This window comes from Homo sapiens, chromosome 8 (assembly GCF_000001405.40).
Source record: "Homo sapiens chromosome 8, GRCh38.p14 Primary Assembly".
Lineage (NCBI taxonomy): Eukaryota > Metazoa > Chordata > Mammalia > Primates > Hominidae > Homo > Homo sapiens.
The window spans coordinates 141,715,264-141,736,991 of NC_000008.11; the positions used below are offsets into that span (position 1 = coordinate 141,715,264).

At 59.1% G+C, this 21,728-nt stretch overlaps 1 long non-coding RNA gene across 2 annotated transcripts, besides 3 other annotated features; it reads right to left on the reverse strand.

Moving 5' to 3' along the window:
- Positions 756 to 956: a silencer, noted in NCBI's record as "peak7195 fragment used in MPRA reporter construct". NCBI's record gives its function as "represses an SCP1 promoter by STARR-seq MPRAs in K562 erythroleukemia cells {active_cell/tissue: K562}" and the evidence as "EXISTENCE:reporter gene assay evidence [ECO:0000049][PMID:32103011]".
- LOC124902074 (uncharacterized) lies at positions 7,214 to 15,409 on the reverse strand. 2 transcript variants are annotated; one of them, XR_007061193.1, is made up of 2 exons: positions 14,949 to 15,409; positions 7,214 to 12,011 (listed from the first exon to the last, which is right to left on the reverse strand). It is a non-coding gene; the product is annotated as an uncharacterized LOC124902074 (long non-coding RNA). The 2 variants fall into 2 exon arrangements; XR_007061192.1 differs by lacking the exon at positions 14,949 to 15,409 and adding an exon at positions 12,126 to 12,917.
- Positions 15,240 to 15,740: an enhancer, noted in NCBI's record as "H3K4me1 hESC enhancer chr8:142740701-142741201 (GRCh37/hg19 assembly coordinates)". NCBI's record gives its function as "activates a minimal SCP1, AML or CMV promoter by ChIP-STARR-seq in naive H9 embryonic stem cells {active_cell/tissue: H9 hESC(naive)}" and the evidence as "EXISTENCE:reporter gene assay evidence [ECO:0000049][PMID:30033119]".
- Positions 19,674 to 20,873: an enhancer, noted in NCBI's record as "CDK7 strongly-dependent group 2 enhancer chr8:142745139-142746338 (GRCh37/hg19 assembly coordinates)". NCBI's record gives its function as "activates an origin of replication core promoter dependent on BRD2, BRD4, P300/CBP, MED14 and CDK7 cofactors, with strong dependence on CDK7, by STARR-seq in HCT116 cells {active_cell/tissue: HCT116}" and the evidence as "EXISTENCE:reporter gene assay evidence [ECO:0000049][PMID:35650434]".

The window sequence follows — 21,728 nt, forward strand, 5'->3', positions numbered from 1 at the left end:
GCTGCTGGGAGGGTCTGTGTGAGCTGTATGAGCAGCTGTTTCCTTCATGGGGGACATCACCCTGGCTTTCCCAGGGTGCAGATGCACCAGATCCCTCTCCATCTTGAGTGGCCCCCTCGCCCCCATCTTCATGCCTCAATTTGCTCATCTGTTAAATGACAGACTCACCCTCCAAGGACTCCAGCTCTTTCTGTGTCTCTCAGAGGTACACAGAGCTAGCATTGCCACCTCCTTTGTGCAGAGAGGGGCACTGAGATCCCGCTGGGTGAAGTCCTTCACGCAAGATCCCATGAGTGGCTCAGAAGAGCTTGGTCTGGAAGCTGGGGCGGAGGGGGGGGGTGGCCTGAATCCACTCCAGGGTTCTTGCTACCAGCCATGGAGAAGGAAGACAGGAAGGTGCCTTAGAAAATGATCCGTGGCTCCCCAGACAGAGGGAGTATTGACACGGTTATTTTTAGCATTATTAAAATCAGTCTGTTTTGCTCCTTTTTTTCTCTCCTCACCCTGGCTCAGTCTTCGCCTCTGGATTGAGTGTGTGTTCGCGTGTCCGGGCCAGGGCGCTGGGGGAGCTGCTGCAATCAAAATGGTAATGAGACCCTGATTGTGTCTCTCAACGCCTTGCTTCTTCCATGCCTCTGCCTGCCCCCAAATGTCGCCTGGTCTTTGTGGCGCCCTGGGGAGCAGCACCAGCGTTCTTTGAAAATGAGACCTCAGCTCAGTGCTCCATAGAAACAGCCTCTGGGAACCTTGGAGAACTTGGGACCTGGCCCTGCCTATGGGCGATCCTTGCTGAGGATCCTCCTCCTTCCTACTGCTGGGGCAGTACCAGGACTACTGTCCATGGTGCTGGACGGTCTCACCACTGTCCATGGTGCTGGACGGTCTCACCCTGGTCCCCCAGACTCAGGCGGTCGGAGGCGATGTGGGGATGGACAGAGTCTGTGTCTGAGGAGGAAGGCCTGGGGCCCACGGGGTGAGGGACAGCCTGGTTAGGGGAAAGACAGGGTCTGTGTCTGAAGAGGAAGGCATGGGGACCCCAGAGGAGGCAGCCGGGTTAGGGGAAGGACAGTGCCCACAAGAGCAGCTGATCCTGCAGCTCTGTCACTGGAGCTCTGCCAGCTGGGGCAAGTGATGGATCCGCTCTGAGCTTCCACTTCTTTCTCTGGAAAAAGAGAATGACAGGACCTTTACCTCAAGAGGTCTCGGCCTCTGAGAAGTGTGTGGACATTCCTGGCTCACAGTGGCTTGCCAACCGAGCTTGCAGCATTTTATTAAAACCAAATGCAGTTGCTGGTGGTGCATGTGGCTGCAGCCCCTGGACCCTACCCCTGCAGGGGGCCGCGTTCCTGCTGTCTGGAGGCCTAGGTCAGCTCCTCTCACCTCTGCCTTCTCAGCTGCCTTTCCCTGAAGTGTCTGGATCTCCCTGCCACCCAGCAGCTCTAAGGGGCCTCCAGGGCCCTGTGCCAGCCTAGCCCCCTGCTGCTGTGACCGGCTGTCATTGCTGTGAGCATCTCACCGGAGACCTTCCCCTGGAACTGAGCCAAAGCCAGCCTGGCTGCTGGGAGCTCCTGAAACCCCTGTCCTCTGCACGTTGGATTGGCCCTGCTCTGGAACCTGAGCCACCGAGGGCCCATGTGGAGTTTGTTCCATGTGGACAGGACAGGCCACTGGTGGGAGGAGGAGAGGTGCTGGCATTCCAGCCCTGCTTCCTCACCCTGGAGATTGGCACTCCCCTTGCTGTCACTTCCCTCTGCTGGCTGGGCCTGTTATCAACCTGCCTGCTGGTGTCTCTGTTCCATCAAGTCCAAAACCAAGCCTGCCCAAGTCCCGCCCCTGCTGACACCCTCCTGGTGCCTCACCAGCTCCAGGTCCACAGGCCCCTGCAGCTGCCCTCCTCCTGAATGCTCCAGCCCCACCACGGCTCCCTTCTCTAGACCTTCCCCTCCCTGGAACAGCTCCCCTGGGAGGCCCACCTCTCCCTCCTGGCCCAAGTGCCTGTATTCTCTTTGAGCCCTGAGCCTGGAGGCCACCTCTCCTGCCTTGGCCACATGGGAAGGTGCAGGCTGTGCCTGTGCATAGGGGGTGAGTGTGCTGAGCACCTGTTCTCTAGTGGCCCCTTCATAGCTCACGGTTCCACATTTCTCACACCTCGGCTGAAAATCCTTCACAGTTTCCCTCCTGCCTCACCTTTCTGGGGCTCCTCATCACATCTCCTGCCTATATTGAGCCTTGCAGAAACCTCACCTCGTACCCCAGCCCCAACCCACACCCATGGCTGGTGTTCAACCTCCTTCTCCCCAGCCCAGCCCTGAGGACCACGCAGCTCCACCCACAACACTGAGAATTCCTCCTGGGCTGCCCGTACTCGGCCCTGTGCCCCCACCCAGACATGGGGCTGGGGTCTCCCCTTTCATTCTTAGCCAGGGAGCAAATCTTGCTGGCTGTGGCTGTGCCCGGGGCTGTGTTAGTGTGCTAGTGTGTGAGGAAGGGTTACCATGGGGAGCAAGAGTGGACACAGGCTCAGCCATTGTGGGACTTGGGGGAAAGACAGGTATTGAAACCACACAAATCTCTGTGGGTGGAGCAGGGGCTTTGCAGACATAGTGTGCTGGCTGCATCCTGTGCCCTTTGCCCAGCTCCTGGCACGCCCCCTCCATGGGGCATTAACGACCACCTGACACTCTACCTCCACTGGCCAACCTTCAGGTGGGCAGGGGCAGTGTCTGCCTCGGTCTCTACTGGGTCCCCAGAACCATACTCTGATGACACAAAACAGGGGCTCACACAAAGTCTGTCAATAAATGAATGGGCGAGTGGCCTGGCCTGCCCGTCCCAAGCACACCCGCCCTCTTGACCCCTCCTCCAGGAGAGGATCCAGAACCAGCCCATGGGCAGGCATGGGCGAGTTTGCAGGCCTGGGCCTGAACAAGGGGCAATTTCTAGGTGAGCACAGAGCCTTCCTCCCTGCAGCCAAGCTTCCAGGGGGCCCAGCTCTTCCCAGTGTGCTGGGCCCCAGCCTTCCTCCCAGAGAAGCCAGCCATGGCAGGGACACTGTGTCCACATGCCGGTCTGCTCCTCCAGCAGATGCCTGCCAGGCTCCTCCTGCCCTGCCTGTAGTGCCTTCCAGTGTGCTGGAGACAGACGGCAGAGAGGAGAACCAACTTGTGTATGGAGAGGCTGGACAGGTTCCCCGAGTGGGGTGGGCGGGTTCATTTGGATTCAGTAGTTGGGAAACACAATGAGGTTCAGATCCTGACGGTGGGGCCCCCAAGCTGTGTGTGAGCTGCTCCCATCCTCTCTGGGCCTCAGCACTCCCCTCTGCGGTGTGGGGTTGGAATATACCTGCCTCAAGTTGAGGTGCTGAGGGTTAAAGCAGGTGCAGTGCCTAAAGCCAGGTGCTGACTCCACCCACATCCTGCCTCAGGCCTAGCCCAGGACTCCTGTCCAAGAAACCAAGAAACCCGCTCCTCTGTTCTGCAGTGGGAGGTGCTTATGCACAGGGACTCCTGGGACCCCACCCAAGATGCTCTGGCAGAGCAGGGGGTCCTCCTGGGCTGTGGGGGTCTGGGTGAGTCCTCTCTGGCTCTTCCGTCAGCTTGAAGAAGGCTCTGGATGCTGAGGGCCGGCTTAGTTTGTAGTTTGTATCTGGTTTGTGATGGGAACTGGGAGGGGAGAGTGAGGGCAGGAATTATTCCTGACGCCAGGTCCTGCTTGGAGGGTTCTTGTACCCAAGCCCATTCTAGCCTCCAGTCTCCTGGCAGGGATGACTTTCACCCCCACCTCACAACTGGGGAAGGTGGGGCTCTGAGTTGCCCGGCTTGGCCGTGGGGACAGAGTGAGCTGCGGGTACACAGCAGGGCCTGGGGCCAGAGGCAGTGAGGGTGGGCATGGTGTCACCATGGGGGTCAGGTCCAGTGGAGGCAGCATGCTGGCGCTGTCAGAGGAGCTGAGAATTAAGAGAACGATCACCATTTGTAGACATTTTTGTGGAAGAGTGGTGGAGAGGAGCTTGGGCTGGTTCCCAGCAGCCCTCCTCATGGTCGGACACTGTCCCGGGCTCCCCTTCCACACCTGGATCTGGGACCCCTCTGCAGGAGGAAGCTGGGGAATGATCCCTGAAACTCTCCCAGCCTGGACTCTCCGCAGCATGCGGCAGCTCCTGACCCACCCATCAGCCCTGCAGTTTCACTCTGAGTAGCTGAACAGATGCTGCTTCTCTTCCTTCCTTCTGGTTCTAGGACCTGAGAGCCAGGGAAGGCCCTCGACCCTGCTACCTTCTAGCCGTGTGACCCAGGGCAGGACAATCTCCTGATGCTCCATCAACCCTATGCATTACCCCTGAGACGGTTCCTGACCCTTTGTCTAGAGAGGCAGATAGAAAGACTGCGCTAGAGGGTGGGAAGGATGGGAGGGCACTTGGCTGAAGGCGCCCTGCAGATAACAAGCACCATGGCTGTGACCCAGGGCTGGTGTTATTTAGGGGGCCCAGCCCTGGGACACACAGGGGAACTTTGCAGTGAGAGTGGCTGATTCCAGGGCACCCAAAGCCCCAGGATCTAGTCCTTGAAGGAAGGAGAGCTGTGTGGTCTGGCTCAGGCCTGGCCACAGCACTCTCTTGGGGCTGTGGAAGCTGTTTCCACGGTGCCTGAGGACATGATCCAGAGTCTGTCACCTGGGAACACACCATAACAGGGCTGTACTCCTGCCTGGGGCTGGTGACAGGCCAGGCCACCCATGGTGCTCGCTCCCTCTGTATCTCTTCAAAGGCCCTCCAAGGCCAGCTCCTCCAGCAGATGTTGGTCCACTGCACTCCTGCCTGGGGCTGGTGATGGGCTGGGCCACCCATGGCGCTCACTCCCTCTGTATCTCTTCAAAGGCCTTCCAAGGCCAGGTCCTCCAGCAGAGAAATGGGTCCACGCTGAGGGCCCTGGAAGCCCGTGGCTGTCCTGTGCCTGGGACTGTGGCATCCGAGAGCGGACACAGCTTCACCAGGAATTCTGGGGTCCCCAGACCTGGAACACTGGCTCCAGAGGTCCCTGTTTCGTTCTTGTTGCTGCTCGGTTTCCTCTCTTGGCCCTCGAAGAATGTGCCTTCTCCTAGAGGCCTCCTGGGGCTGACCCCCCTCCGCGCCCCACTGGAATCCTCCCGCTCCCTGTCCTCCATCACGCTGAGCCCAGATCTGTCTCCTTAAGCCCAGCAGAGCGGGGCCATTCTCAGAGAGGATTTAAGTGCCCCTCGCAGAGCAGGCAGGGATTTATCCTCCTGTCCCTCCGCTCCCTCTCTGTCGTTAGGGCGGAAGTGGGCCTCCCTGGCGAGTGGCATGGCTGTGAAATGTGGCTGTGCCCTGCGTGGTGCTCGTGCCTGCAACGGCCGCTGGCTCAGAGGCATGGGGGAAGGGCTCTGGGGTTGCCGAATCTCCTCTCGGTGGTGACCCCATAGGAAGTGGGGGAGAGCACTGGCCCGAGGCCCTGGCAGGAGCAGGTGCCTGGGGAAAAATCACTGTGGATGACTGCTGTGTACACCAGACTGCCCCCCAGGCAACGAGGTCCCCACCCACCATTGCCTGTCCTCTGGGTGCTGGTCCACTGGCAAACCCATTCCTGGAGGTCCTGAGGGGGCTGTGCCCCATCCCCATCCCCTCCTCCGGCCCTGGCCTCTCTTTCCCAATGTCTAATCCTTAAACACCTGGGAGGGGCTTATGCCTGGGGCAGGGTTGGTCTGAGTTATGCAGTTGCTTTGCCGTCAGCACCCGGAGGCCCCCGGCCTCTAAGCAAGGACCCCACTCTGTGTCACCCCCCATCCTCTCAGGAAGCCGACTCCATGCCCAGGAGATGCAAACTGGGTTTTGACCCCATCCCCCCGCCCTTCCTCAAGCTGTTAGCTCGGAGGCCTTGGAGCCTGTGGCCATGGCTCAGGGCACATTCTCCTCCCCCCAGCTGTGTCCACACACTCAGCAGCCCCCAGAGCAGCCCCCCATCTTCAAGCCAGAACCAGCCATCAGCACAGCCCACTGTGAGATGAAAGGTGCTCTGTCGACGGGTGTTAATGTGCTCCTGTTCCCTCCTCATCCGTTCAGCAAGTGTCCACCGACCGCCTACTGTGTGGGGGCCCACGGCCAGGCCTGCTTTGGGTGAAGCCTGTGTAATGTTTTGCAGACGGGAGCCCTTTCCAGGGGAGAGTGGATCCCTCATCTCCCACCCTGTCTGTCCTGAGCACCCTTAGACCAGGCCATGGTGCACAGTAGGGGCCCTGGGAATGGCGCTTTCATTGGCTAGGATGGTGAGGAAGCCTTCTTAACTCTCCAAGATGTTGTCATGGAGACCCCTCTCTCACTGCCACCCTCCTTTCGGTCTCCAGGGAACAGGGTCCCCTGAAGAAGGTCAGCAGCTCTGCAGGGGCTCGGGATCTCTGTATCGCTGGGGGGACTCCCCTCGCCTTCTGGGGACTCTGAACGATGAGAAGAGCCACCAAACCCAGGTGTGGGGACTTGGAGAGGCTCGGCTCCCCTGGGTGCTCTGTCCCCCAGGGATGTGGCAGATTCTCTGCGGCAGGGTGCCTTGCAGGACAGAGGGACAGAGCACCCTGGGGGGCCAAGCCTCTCAACTCTCTTGGGGTCAAACCACTTCACAAAGGGTACCTGAAGGTTAAGAAGTTCTGGGATTTGGGAGCAGCTAGCTGGGCCTCCCAGAGCCACAGATGGTGGCCCAGTAAAGGCAGCCTGACCACAGCCTGAGGTGACAGCATCTTGTGGCCAAACGCTCAGCCCTGAAGCAGCTTCTGAGGGTGGCTGGGCTGACTGAGAATGATCTGGGGCTTGAGGCCTGGGTGCTCACAGCCTTGTACTGAAAAGGAGAAAAACACCAGTCCTCTGACTTTCTGCTGTACCCAGGGGCTGGCCCGGGATCCTCAGCATCTCTGCATGGTGCTGAAGTGTGTGGCCGGTGTGAGTGTGTGTGCACATCCCACGCAGGTGAGCGTCACTGTGACCCTGTGGCTTGGACACCTCACTTGTTTGTGAGGCTCCCTCTGGGCCTCAGTCTCCCTACCGGCAGAGGAAGGGGCAGGCAGCATGGATTAACTGCGCCCAAGCCCTTCTGACATTCCAGGAGCCCCTGTTGTGCCAAGGGCCAGCCTGGACACTTCTGGCTCCCTCCAAATGTCAGCAAGGGAGGGAGTGAGGGCTCTCTGGAACGGAGTGTCTTACCGTGACTTATTGGATCACGAACAGTTTAATAAGGAGAGGGATGGGGGAGGGCACGCTGCTGCCCGCCTGCTCACCTCATAAATTAGGCATCAGATGTTCACAAAGGTATCTTTGAGTAAACAGAATCATCTTGTTGGAGGAAGGGCTGTGTCTGCGGGCCAGGCAGTGAGTCCCTGGGGATGGCGCAGTCAAGATGGCGAAGACAAGGCCGCTGCATTTGTCTAGCGTGCCCTTCGCCAAGCCCGGGGATGGCTACGGGTGGTCTCGCAACAACCTTGGGGCAGCTGGGGGCTGCTTGGCAGGGAGAGGACGTGGCCTGCGAGGGGTCCAATCACCCCCATCCCCATCTCTGAGGTCAGGTTCAATCCAGTGCCTGGACTCTGGACTCCTAAAGCAGGGTCAGGGCCGGATGCAGGCACCTTAGTTGCCCAGCCAGGGAGCAGAGGCCGTGGAGGCAGATTTGCAAGAAGCTGTGTGGCCTTGGGCACGTTCCTTCATCTCGCTGTGTCTGAGTTTCCTCCGCTCCCATCCCCCACCTCTCCCGTCTCGGCCCCTCCTCAGGTCCAGCGCAGGGTGCCACAGTGTCACCTTCATCCACGGCAGGGCTGCTCCTGCCTGACCTAAGAGCTCAGGGCTTTTCTCCCTTCAGGGTCTGTTCCATGGGCAGGTGGATTCAGCCCCAGAGGGACGGTGGGGACTCGAGCATCTTCTTACTGAGTTGGTTTTTTTTTTGCACTGGACACTGCACAGGAAGTGGCTGTGGTGCTCCAGGCCCTGAGGCACAGCCTTCCTCCCTCCTCTTCCTCTTTGCCAGAAGCAGTGCCTTCCACGTGACCTCCACGGACAGCCAGGCTGCATGCGCTCTGCATGCCCAGAGCTCCTTGTTCTCTGGCCCGGATTCATGCTGGGCTCCAGCCAAGCGCCCTATGCCCCAGGCAGCCCCAAGCAGGGTCTTGGTAGCCAGGGGCAGCCATGGAGTGGGGTGATTCCCGTGGGAGCCTTCCGCACGTGCGCTCCGCCCACCACCCTGCCCAGGGCGTGAGGCTCGCTCTAGACACCAGAGAGAAGCAGGCCAGGGGTCATGCTGGGGATGGTCCCGGGGAAAGGGAGGACAAAGGGGAAGAAGGAGTGAGCTGCAGGCCCAGAGGGTGGGGGTTCGGAGTGTGCAGCGAGAGGGAACGGAGGCCGGGGACTTGGGACTCCCCATGGTGGAGGGGTGGGGTGGGCCTTGTCCATGTCCTGGGAGTGGGCAGGAGCATCTATGCTCCCATCTGTGTAGTGGGGCACCCAGACTCCAGTCCAAGGGGCCTTCCCCGCTCTGCCATGTAGGACTGTGGGAATCCTTGGCCTTAGTCGTGGCTCCAGGGTTGTGGCTCTGCTAGAAATCTCGATGGATCTTGGCTTTGGTAAAAGTGAGGCTCCCATCCCCAACCCAGTCCGGGCCCACACAGCGTCCTGGGTAGCAGCGTCCACCCGCTGCGCGAGGAGGCAGAGGGCAGAGTTGCTTACATTGACTTCTAAAAGCCCCATTCGTTCTCCGCGAGAGACGCACTCCCTAACTCATGCTGGAACGCAGAGGGATGATTTTTAATAAACCGGCCCTTTCGGGGCCTGAATCACTGTAACTGCAGGCGCCGGGGCAGGTTTACGCACAGCCCACCCTCCCACTGCCCGCCCCCGGCGCCGGCAGGCAGCCTCTTGTTTAGGAGACGATTTGTTGCTTTGGGTTCTTTCTTGGGCTTTTCCGAAGCAGAGGCCTGAGCTCGAGCTTCCCGTCTGCAGAGAGCAGCAGGAGCACAGCGGGGTGGAAAGAGAGCTCACGGCCCTTGTGGCCCATCGAAGGTCAGGCCAGCTTTCCCTGTCCTCAGCTGGGCTCTCTATGGGGCTAGGCCCCGCTGCTGCCCAGTCACTGGCCCTGTCCCTGACACATGGGAGAATGTGCTCAGGCCCCCGTGGTCTCCCTTCCCGGGATGGGAACCCATGCGAGTTCCAAGCACAAGAAAGTGCAGGCTGGGGTGAGGACTGGGCACCTCATGTGCACTAAAGTATCAGAGGCAACTAGGCCTCTGCCTCAGTTTCCTAATCTGTAACATGGGATCATTTTCCCAACCCAATCCGCAGGGTTGTTGTGGGGACCCAGTGGTGCCGTGGGGTCATATGCTTTGTATACCCAGTTCATAGGTGAGACTGAGACCCGGGATGTCTTAAGGACGGAAGTGGACTGGGATCCCGGTACGGGATCCTCCCTGTCACCCTGCTCCTTTGCACCCACTGATCATCAATGGTACCTCTGTTCATCTCGGGGCTCCGTGCTGTAAGCTCCTCCGCCACCGGCAGCCACTCTCGTGGCCCCATGCTGTGAGCCCCACCCCGCAGGCAGCCACTCTCAGGGCCCCATGCTGTAAGCCGCACCCTGTAGGCAGCCACTCCCTGGGGAATCTGACATGAACAATTCCCTCCCCAGATCAGGCTTGAAGCTGAACCCCCTCGGGCATCTCCAGTGCCCCCACCATCAGGCTGCTTCCTTTGAGCCTTTAGGACACAGCTGTTCCTTCCAGATGTGCCCCAGCCAGGCCAGTGGTCGGCCCGTTTGCTCTAGATGGCCCTGGTGCCTTACAGCATCCTGTGGGTTTCACTCCTCCTGTCCCTTCTCCCAGGCAGCAACAGCCCCATCTGTGGACGGCACGAGGTTCCCGCCACCCACCCCTTCCTGTGCTCTCCTGCTAGCCTGGGACCACCGCCTGCCCCTTGCCAGCCTCCAAGCCACCTTGCTCACTCCATCCAGCAGCCCAGGCCTGGGGGCTCCTGCTCCCTCGGGAGTCTCTGCCTCCTCCTAGGGACCTTCCCCTTTCTGGACCCTCCAGGGATCCTTCAGGGCTGCTGGAACCAGCTCTTCCTGCTGGGCTCTGCCTGCCAGGACCTCACACCTCTACTGGTTCCTGACTCAGCTGTTTCCTGCCTTCCTTGGAGATGTCATTCACAGGACCCCTGGGTGCCCCTCACCTGGTGGGTCCTGGCCTGGACTCACTCTGCTGGGCCCAGCCACTGTATCCCAGGTGCTGTATGCAGCCAGGCCTTGCCGTTGCTTGTGTGGCCATTTCAGGGGGTCGAAAGGACTCTGGCTACTGGAGTCTTGCAAGCTCCCTGCAGGCCAGGCAGAGGAAGGACAACACTGGCCACGGTAACAGCCAGTGTTTCATGAGCTTGGCAGAGCCTGATGTACAGTCAGCGAGTCCCGCCCACCTCCCTCCCTCTGCAGCTGCTCTGCGGCTTGGCCTCTGTGTGCCTGGTTTCCTCACAGGAAAACCAGGGATGAAGCAGGGGGTGGGCTCGGGGACCCCATGCGGAGGCCGGAGGAGTGACAGGTGGTGATCCCTGACTTTGGCAGAGCCCAGAAAGCCCCGGCTACCACTGCTGTTGCCACATTCAACACATCACCAGGTGCCGCCTCACAGTTCCAAAGGCTGTACCTTAAGAGGAGCTGGCGTGCCCAAAGCCATGGGCTGTGTCGGGTCAAGGAAGCCCCTGCTGCCGGACGCTGACCCCTGCTGCCGGACACTGACCCCAAGTGCATTGTCCCCTGGCTGCACCTAACTCTGCATTCCTGGGCATGGTGACTCCACACAGGGCAGGATGCGGAGGGACAGGCAGGGAAGCTGGGTGGCGGAGGGGCCCTGGGCATCAGACAGCAGGGAACCGCCCCTCCCTCAGGGATGGCTGTGTCTCTCCTGCCACATGCCCTGGTCTTTCTCTCCTACCTCCCCTCTGCAAACCACCCTCTTGGAACTCTCATACCTCCCCAGCCCTGTCCGCACCCCAATCCTCTTGTCTTCCTGGGGATGGGCCAATCTCAGGGCCCCCTCCCGCCAGCCACAGTGGTGGATGAGGAGCTCTGGCCTTGGGCTCTGCACACCTGGGCTCCGGCTGCTCCTCTCCCTACCCACGGTGACGGTCCTCCACTCGGCCTGATGAAGGGCTCACAATGGGGCCAGGAGGCTTCTGGAGCAGGTGGCTGGCAAGCTGTCCTGGGCAGCAGAGGGGATCCCCCAGAGGAAGAAGGGCAGGGACTCACAGCCGAGGCCCCTGGTTCCCGCAGCTCAGGCTCCTGCCAGGGACACCCGTCTGTCCTTGGTGCTTAGACTCCAGGTCGTCTTTGGTCCTTGTTCCTGTGTCTTTCCTGCCTGCTGGTCGAACCCAGAGGGGCCCCCGAGGCTGGGCTGTGTCCATCGATCAAATTCAAAGAGACCTGTGCGTGGCAGTTGGCTGCTCATTTTTTGCTGCAGCTCTACCAGCCGCTCCGCGGGTGGGCAGCTGTCCCTGCCAAGAACGTGACGCACCGAGAGGTTCGTGGCTTGCAGGAGGTCACACAGCCCATTCCAAAGGCCGTGGGGTGCACACAGGCTGTACCCCAAGTTTACAGTGGGGAAGCTGGAGACCAGGGAGGTGATGTGATTTGCCCAAAGCCACACAGGGATGCACTGGCAGGGCTGGGCGTGCGTGGCTCTTCTTCGAGCCTCCCGCAGGGCTGCCTGCCTCTGAGGGTGCCCGGCTTCCCTCCCTCCCAGCCGCCCGCTGGGCTCCTTCTGCTCCGTCAGGGAGCACTACCGGCTATGGCTCCCAGGGGGCGCTGAGGCCCCGCGGCTGGCTTTCCGCCTGCCCAAACCCTGAAAAATGCGGCGTGTGCTCTGCAAACTCACTGGTGCTGTGTGTGTTTTTCCAATCAATAGAAGATGCTCAGTCCCCGAGATGTCGCTACCAGAGTCTTCACACATCTGCATCGGAAGGATTCCAAGTGAAAAGTCTTTTCCTGTTGGGGTAAAAAAAAATGTAAAAGGAGAAAAGGAGAATTTGCCTAACAGACTAGAAAATTTCCACTTCCCAGCATCTGAACAAAGTATTTGTGCTTCTTGTGCCTAATTACCCAGGCTGCAGAAGGAGAGCTGGGTGGGTTTCCAAGCTCGGCCGTGGCGCTCAGCGAGTCGATCCTGGGGAGGAATCTGCATGTATTTCTGGGTGATGCTGAAGGTACCCGGCCACCGGCCTGGGAGACTGGGGTCTGGTTCCAGCCCTGCTTTCCACTTTTGTTTGACCTTGGAGAAGATGCTTGGCCCCTCTGAACTCAGCCCTCCTGGCTATAAAGAGGTTTTGTGTTAAGTTCACATCTCCAGGATGCTGACAAGCCCAAGGCATTTAATCTGAAACATAAACTGATTCATAGCTTTATACTAATGTGGAGTTTTCAAAGTGCCTTTGAAGTCCGCATCTGCCTGGTTTCCTAATTGGCCCTGGAGAGTGGGGGGTGAGCTGCGCCCCGGAGCTCACAGGGGTGAAGGGTGATGCACAGGCCCAGCTGTCAGCAGCAGAAAGGGGCCGGCGGGGCTACTCCTGCTCGGTGCCAGTGGCCTGGCCCTCAGCCTGGGAAGCCGGGGAATGGCCCCGGAGAACACAGGCGGGAGGGGCTGGACTTGGCTTCAGGCCTCCAGTCCAGTGGAAGACACTTGTGGTGAACAAGACTGTCCCGCAAGCCCAAATCGGTGCCCTGCTGGTGGGATATGGCAGCAGCCCACTGCGGAGTCGCTGCCCGGAAGCTAAGGCGATGAGCGGTGACTGCCACGTGAGAGCCAGGCTTCAGGGCCTGAACCACAGAGCGGGCTTCTTCCAGCCCGGGAGTCCGAGAGGCGCTGGCTCGGGGAAGTCTTTTCCCCCTTCTCATGAGCACAGGGGCAGTCACAGTGCTCTTGCTCCTGGCCCAGGTCCTCCCCACCTCAGAGTTCACTCAGGCCAGAAACTGGGACAGCCCTTCCTGGCACCTTCTCCTGGCTTCCCATTCCTTCCAGCCACCACCAAGTCCTGCCGATTTTATTCTGAATGTCTCTCGATGGTGCCCACTTCTCTGCCTCCCAGCTGCTGCTACCCGGGGCCTGGCCACCATGGACCCTCCCCAGGGATGACAGCAATCCCCTGGCTGCCTTGGCTCCCTCCCCCAACTCTCTGCCCCTCCAGTCCCTTCACCAGTGATGGCCAGGCTCCTTTTTTGAAAACATAAACTGAGCGGGGCACTCCACATGTCATCGCCCATGGCCTGGCCGGCCGCAGCCCCAGCCCCTCTCCCCGCCTGCAAGGTGCCTGCTCTTGCTCACTCAGCCCAGCCTCGCTGACTGCCGAGCGGCTCGCTCTACTTCTCTTCTTTCTTTACTGCCCTGCCCCCTGAGGAGTGACAGCTTCTGGCAGATACTAGGTGCTCATTAATACTCACTGCCTGCCTGAGTGAGCTGGCATTTGGGCGGGGTCTTCATCCCAGAATTGTGAAATGGAGGAGGCAGCATGGAGAGGGAGGAAGTGGCTCAGGCAAAGGCTGGAGAACAGGGTCCATGAGCAGGGTGAGTGGGCTTGGGAGAACGGGGGATGGGAAGATGGAGCTGGGTCCCTGGAAGGTCTGCGTCACGTCAGGGAGAATTGGTCAGGGGCTGCAGCAGTGGGACCTGGGGTGGCTGGCCTGCAGGGCTCAACGAAGAGGGCTCTCTACCTACCCAGCACGTGGTAACAGTACTGGATCTGGAGCTGCCTCCAGGGACTCGTCCCTGCTCTGCCCTCCCAAGCCATGTGACTTGAGGGGAAGTCACCGGGCCCTGCATCCTCATCAGCAACCAGGTCTAATAACCCCTGGCCAGAAGTGAGAGAGTCTGGCATGCGGTGTGAGCTCAGGAACTGTGAGCTCTCCAAATCTGTGCTTCTGAGGGCTCCCTTGGGAGCCCCAGAGTGGAGGCAGGGAGGCCAGGGGCGAGGCTGGTTCCTTTGCCCATAAGAAGGCTCAGCCAGGCAAGGGGAGAGGGCACTGAGGGAGGGGGAATGGATCCAGAGATGCTCTGCCTTCCTGGAGAAGGAGAGAGTGTGGGCAGTTCCCCAGCACCTGTCTCACTTCCCTGGATGAGGCTACATGGCCTCAGCTTCCCCTCCCCCAACTGTCCTGGGGCTGCGCCCATTCCCAGAAGCTTTGCAGGGAGGTAAGGAGGGGCCGATGCGGGGCAGAGCCCCCACTCGTCCTATCTCATATCCCCAAGCTCTGCCGGGTGTCACAAGGCCTCTCAGCTGCAGTATCCCCACTCCACCCTGACCCCAGGCCCATCCATCCTGCCTGTACCTTCCTAGTGCAGCAGGGCCCTGGTATTTTCAGGTAGTCAGTTTCTGCTCTTTTGGGACATATGCTCTGTTTTGCAAGTGATTCTGCCAAGCCTGGATTTCAATGGTGATGGACTGGTCCTCGGGGGTCCTCCCTTTAGCACCCCAGGTGGCCTTTGGAGCTGGGTGCTCAGCCCTGCTTGACACCCCGCCAACGCTGTCCTGTCCAGAGAAATGGGTAGATCCCCACACCCCAACACAAACGCACACTGTGTCTTCCCAGCTTGGGAAGATCCAAGTGAATTTCTGGAGTCACTTGAGGGAGACCAGAGAGGTTAATCTAATTTGGGGCATCTTCACAGCCCAGCAAACAACCAAGTCTCAAGAAACCTCAGCTTCTCTATCTGGAAGAGGGGCATGATCACCCTAAGCGCTGTGGGCTCTCCAGGCACACACCCCAGTGCCTGCATCGGGACCTTGCTCTCCAGAGCCCCTGCCCATGGGGTGCCCTCCCCAGCTCCTGCCTTGCCCACCCCGTCCATTTCCATCCCTCTCCTGGTTCCCACATCTTTATCCCCCTGGAAGCAAAGACAGACATCATTCTCCTTTGCCTGCCCAGACCCACCAGCTGCAGCCCTTGAAGATGGGGGACTTCTAGGCGTGACCTTGAGGCAGCCCCCTCTGTCCTCTCTGCGCCTCTGCGATGTCACAGGGTGGGGCCTGAAGGCTGCCATGTTGCGGATCTCCAGGTTCGGTCCCCTGCCTCTCCTTTCCTCATCCTCTGTTCTTCTTCCTCCCCCTCCTCCTCCTCCTTCCTCTCCTCCTCCAGCTCTGTGCTCTGTGTTTCCTTGGGGAATGACTCACACAGTCGCCTCCCACCTGCACTGCCAGCTTCCCAAACCTTCACTCCAAAGGGTCGCGGTGTGAGCAGATTTCAGCCTTCAGAGGCATCCAGGCTTGGGGCCGCAGTCTCTCCTGCTGCCTGAAGCCTGCAGCCAGGGAGCGCGGCTGGGCTCGGAGGTTTCCTGCTGTCCCAGGGCCCAGGGAGAGAATCCAGCTCTGCTTTCTGGTCTGAACTCACTGTGTGACCTTGAGCTGGTTCCTTTTCCTTTCTGGCCTCCCTTTCCCTGTGCAAACACACCAGGCTGGAGCTGGGAGACTCCTGGCTCTTTTTCCGGTGTCCCCTCAGCCCCCATCTCTTTTAAGCATTATATTTTGATGAATTCTACTATTGTATATTGATGGGGTACAAAGTGATGTCGCGATTTTTTTAATACACTGTGGAGTGATTAAGTCAAGCGAATTGTGTGCTAAGTGAAGTAAGCCTGACTCAGGATGCATTCCTTTCACCCCGGGGGTGGGCAGGGTGTGTATGGAGGAGTCAGAGGAGGGTGTGCAGGGGAGGCTGGGCCCAGTGGAGGCTGGCATCCTCCCCATGAGCCCCTGGCCATGCGTGGACAGCGTTCCTCTGGCTTCCACCTGCTCTGTTTCCCTCCCCCACTCTCAGCCCTGTGATTTGGGAGGAATTAAACTTGCCCTGGAACAGGTGACCCAGGCTGCAGCCAATCACAGAGTCACATTCCTATGGCCACAGGGATTGGTCGAGAGATGGGCATGTGACTCAGTGAGAACCAATGAGAGGCAAGGAGCTTTGAATGGGCCTAGGGAGGAGGATGCTGGCTCTGTGCTCCCTGGGATTCAGGCCCGGAGCCCCTGCTCTGCACAGAATCCAGGCAAGGCCAGGGCAAGGGGATCAACTTCCAGCCAGGACTCCAAGGCAAATAGAATCTCACTTTTGCTGCTATTAGCTCAGCACCTACTATTACACAGCTGCAATTTCTCTGCATATATTTTCTCATTTAATTCTCACAGCAATATTGCAGGGTGGGTATTATTGCCTGATCTGCAGGACCAGAAAAGGGAGGCTCAGGTTTGTCCACCCACACCCCATGGCCCCTGGCTGGCCCCGGTTGTACTGTCCATCCCCAGAAGTGGGGCTCAGACCCACTTGCTGTGTGGGGGGTCCCTATGTCAGCCATGGGCTCCCAGCCTGGTCCTGCTCCTGGGCCTCCACCCCTGCTGGGACACACAGCCCCACATGGAAACCCACATCTTCACTGCATTGCTGTGGAAAGTGCTTTGGGTCCCGTGCATGTTATTGGACTGGGTGAGATTCTGTGGCAGCTGCTCCATGCCAGTCGGTGGGAGAGGAGACACTCAGATCCGTGATGGGGCTCACCAGAGGGCTCATGGCAGCCCAGAGCTTGCCAGGGCTCAAGGAGGCAAATCTAGCTTCCTGAGCTTGGGCCTGGTGCAGAGGGGATGGGTGTCCCCCACATAGGATAAAGTTGCCCAGCCAGGTGCCTCGTGCACGTGGTGGCATCCAACCTCAGTCCAGACTTTCCATTTTGTAGGTGAGAAAAGCGGGACTTGGAGAGGGGTCCTTACTTCCTTCAGGTCAAATTACTCCTCAGAAGCGCCTTCCGTGGCCTGCAGGGCCTCGGGGCTTGTCTGGTGGCCCTTCCTCTTGGTGACATGTCCACCTCAGCCTTGTCCCTGTCTGTGTGTGGATGCACTCCCTCTGCTGCCGCCCCGGCTGACTCTGCTGTCTCAGCTCTCTGCGGACGTGCCCCGTCCTCGGAGGGGCCTGCCCCGCCCCTGTAGCCTGGACTCCCCCATTGTCCTTCTGGGCTCCCTGCCCCGTCTGCCATGCGGCTGCTGAAATGTGCCTTATGTGTTTACACACTTCTTTATAGGATCAGCGCCTCTCCCACAGACTGCAGGCTCCAGATGGGTGGAGATTGTATCTGTTTTGTTCACCTCCAACTTCCCAGCAGCCCACAGCAGGTGTAGGTCCTCGGTGAGTTTTTTTTTTTCTTTTTTTTTTTTTTTTTGAGATGGAGTCTCGCTCTGTCGCCCAGGCTGGAGTGCAGTGGCGCGATCTCGGCTCACTGCTAGCTCCGCCTCCCAGGTTCACGCCATTCTCTTGCCTCAGCCTCCAGAGTAGCTGGGACTACCGGCACCCGCCACCACGCCCGGCTAATTTTTTTGTACTTTTAGTAGAGACAGGGTTTCACCATGTTAGCCAGGATGGTCTCGATCTCCTGACCTCGTGATCCACCCGCCTCGGCCTCCCAAAGTGCTGGGATTACAGGCTTGAGATGAGTCTTATTGAACAAGGAATAAGAGCATGAATGGGAGGGGGAGATTGAGGGTCTGAGACTTGGTCTGTGTGACCCTGAACCTGGTGCATTCCTGGTACCGCTGTCCCCACTCTTCATTGTGGCTGCCACTGGGGGCTGCCGGAGGATGCTGCTTCTGGGCATCCAGGGCTGTGAGGCTTCCCGAGGCTGAGTCTCGGGGCTGTGTGTTCCATTCTCCTTGAGCAAGCGTTCCACTGCACGTCCAGCACCCACCCTCAGAAACGCTGTGTACCCTGGGCAAGAGGGAGACCGCAAGCCACGGCTGTGAGTGGAAATCCATCGGCTGGTGGGAAGCCCCAGGGAGCGCCTGGCACCGACTTTTACTCTCCCGTCCCCTTTGAGCTCTCAGTCGGTGAACACGAGGCAAGATGGGAGGGTTCGCACAGAGGTCGGCTGCTGTGCCGGTTGCAGAAGGGCCAAGGGGGTGGCAAGGTGGAAGGGGCAGGCTGGGTGGCTGGGCTGCTGGAGCAGAAGGACTGGTGCTGGGTAGAACCACAAGGACACTGGTGTATCGGACAGGAGGGACAGAGCTCCCAGGGCTGAGAAGAGCACAGGTACAGGCTCTTTGGGAGGTCGGAGCAGATAGTGGGGTCAGGGCAGACCAGCATGCTTGGGTGGGAGTTTGTGGAGGGGCTCCAGGTGGGAAATGGGGCAGTGAAAATGATTTGGGGACAGAATGGAGGGCCCTGGCTTCCACCCAGAGAACGCTGCCTTCATTTCCAGGCCAATTCTCACTTTTGACTGTGTAAAAAGCCTCGAGGCCTGAGTGCAGGGCCCACATCAGCCCAGCCATGCTGGCTCCATGTCTGCACTGGTCACGTAGAGACGATCTTCCTATTTCACCTGGACAACGTGAAGGCGGCAAGATGAACCAAGATGACAGGTAGAAAAGCACTGCATGAGTTGGGGCCTTCTAGAGACAGGTGCATTTCAGCTGAGCTAGGGGATCTCTGTTTTAACATAATGGCAAGGAAGATCAGAGCCAAAAGACATAGACGCCAGGCCTCACTCTGCAGCAAGCTGCCTTCTATTCTTCATAAGTCATAGCACCACCCGGGCCTCAGTTTCCTCATCTGTCAACTCTGAAGGCTGGGCCAATGCCTTCCAAGCCTTCTGGGACCCTTCCCAGCCTTGCCGGGAATGCAGAACTGAAGTGCATCCCATCCCCTGGGGGCCCAGAGCTCCCATGCCATGGGCGCAGCACCAGAAAGGCTAATAATGAGGCGGGGCGGCCACCCACCCCAGGGAGATTATGTTCCTTGTCCAACTCTCACTTCATTTAAAAAGCCTGTCTCTGATCCTCTTAGAGCATTTGTGAAGTGGATGGGACGTGAGGCGAGGCAGGAGGAGAAGCGCCTGTGCTTCCCTCCTTGGGGACGGACCAGGTGATTTACATATTTATGAAATCTCTTACATTTTGCCTGGGCCGCGTGTGCACCAGGAGACATTGCTTCTCATTTTAAGCTGTGGATCTGTGTTCCGAGAGTGACAGCTCAAGCTGCCACGGGGCCTCATGGGTATCTGGAGGTGATAAACAGTCCTGGATGGGGTTCCTATCCCAGATCTGCAGTATCCAGCTGTGCAACTGTGGGTGGATCACTCGCCATCTCTGGGCCTCAGTTTCCCCATGTGTAGAATGAGGACAGACAATATCTATAGTAGGCACTCCTGGCATGGTCCTGGTGATCCCCACTCCTGGCATTAACGTCCTTGTGTGATCCTCTCCTGAGGATGGACTGGACCCAGTGACTGGCTTCTCACCAGCAGAAAACAGCCAGAGTGAAGGGATGTTCCCCAGGTTAGGTTCCAAATCCCCAGGACTCTGCCTTTCCCTTCCTTGTCCTTGGATTACTTGCTATGACAAAGTGGCCACCAGGCAGTTGGCTGCTCCACGGAGGGGCAGCCTCTGGCCAGCAGCCAGAGAGGGGTGAAGCCTCAGTCTGAGAGTCCACGGGGAGCTGAATCCTGTCAGCAGCCGTGTGGGTGAGCCTGGACAGAGCCTCCCCAGTGGAGCCTTGAGACGACCACAGCCTTGGCCCACACCTTGGCTGTAGCCCATGAGACTTACAGCAGCTGCCAGGCACTCAGGAGAGCTGCCGCCCCTCCTCTGGGCTGGTCAGTGAGCCGTCTGTGGGTGCATCTGAGCTGCCTTCTTATCTCCAGGCCCAGTACATAGTGGAGCTTGCTCAGTCCAAGTGTGTTACTGGGATCTGTGAGTAGCGGGTGATTCATGGCACACATTAGCAGGGACGCCTTGGGGCGCGGTAGGGGCTCAGCACCCCACAGCCTTGACAGATGGGCTTCCTGACCTAGCCCTACTCCCACCTCCAGAGACAGGGCCCGGGACCCCTCCCCTTGGTGACTGAGACAGCCCCTCTGTTGTGTGTCAGCTCCTCTCATCTAATCATTCTTTCTACAGCCTTCCTGTTCTCGCTCGTAGAAGAGGGGGTTGGGAGGCTGCGCCCCTCAGCCAGCTCCGGACTGTGTACTTGGGCTTTGGGGGCCACGCCTGGTGTCGCTTTGTGTATCCCGGCATCCGATGCAGAGCCTGGGGCACAGCTGCCGCTGGGAAATACCCAGGGTGAGAATACATGAGCAGCCGGTCTAGCATTTTACTCAAAGCACAGATGACTTGATCAGAAGGTGGGTTAAAAGGCTCACCGGAAACGTTTCCTTATTTCCTGTCGGTGCCTGAAATGACTCCTCTTAGAGCCTCTTTGGGGTTTAACACACTGAAATCCCTTGTGCAACGGGCGGGTGTGCTTGCTGAGTCCTGCCACTGCTGGCCACCCTGCCATGGTGAAAGGTGAATCTTTGTTAGGGTGACCTGGCAGAAAGGAAGGCTCTGAGACACCCAGCGACGGGCCTGGCGAGATTGGCAGAAACTGGGGAATGCCCAAGGGCTTCCCGCGCACCTGATGGGAATAGGCCAGATGCCATGCTCCTCCTGACCGCCCCCGAAGAACTGAGACATGGTTCTTGGAGGGATGACTCAGACAAACCTGCCAGGGCCCCTCTAGGCCTTGGAGGCAGAGGCTGGGTCCCTGTGGCTGAGTGGGATGTCCACAGCAGGCCGTCCAGGGGCAATTCCACAAGGACGTGAGCCTTCCACGGCTGTGCCGTCCGACACAGCAGCTGCCGGCCACGTGTGCGCCTGTGCACTTTCAGCCAGGAGGAACGGAATGCGAACGTTGTCTCTGTTACTTACACTTACGTTTAAATGGCCACCCACGGCTGGTGGCCGCCCTGCTGGATGGTGCGGGTCCAGGACAGACAGAATGAGCAAAGTGGAGGCCGCTCTGGTTTCTTGTTTGAAGTCAGATCTTTCCAAGAATGCTAAAAATAATCTTTAAAAAATAATGCCGAGAGAAGATGAGTCTCACTGGGCCACGAGGAGCCGGGAGGGGCGGCACAGCCTCTAATCCATCAGAGAGGTTCCGCCATCTGTCCGGGAGACTCTGCTAGAGGGAAGAAGATTCCTGACTCATCCCTATTTTTAACAGTGTTTATCTTCAGATCCACGCGGTGCCGTGGGATAGAGTGGGGATGAACATACCCCTGCCCTGTTGGTCCTATTTGTGGTGATCTGGATCCAGATGCCACACTGGACCTGGAGCGGCTCCCCAGACCTTGACAAGTTCTGCAGGCAGACAGGACCGGGAAGGACCCCCGAGGGCTGGGGCCCCGAAACACTCGTCCTTCTCACATTCCGCTTCCCACCGTCACCTTCGGCAACTCCATCACCATGGCCAGCTCCGGCGTCACCATGGCCCAGACCGAAACACCCCCAGCTGTGCTGCCAACGCCCCCTGAGCCAGGGCCGCCACATCCTTCTGGTCAACCTCCTGACACTCCTCACCCTCCTCATGCCACTGCCACCCAGCAGCCCTGGAGCTGACCCCATTCAGTGCACAGGCAACTTGAATTGCCCAGCACCAGGCCCCAGGGCTGCACCAAGAAAGGGAATCCACGCATCCACCTTGGGAACCCTCCAGAATCAGGGCATGCCACGTGGATCCCGACTGGGTTCACAGGTCAGCCACACCCCTGGGAAAAATGGCGCCTGAGGCAGGTCTCTCCAGGGGTGGCCTGGCCGACTCTCTGGGCCTTCATTCCCGCCCCTGCCTGCCCTCACCGTCACCTGGTGGGCCCGTTTCTACATCACAGTCCCGAGTGCTGTCCTGTGTTGCTCCAGGAATCCC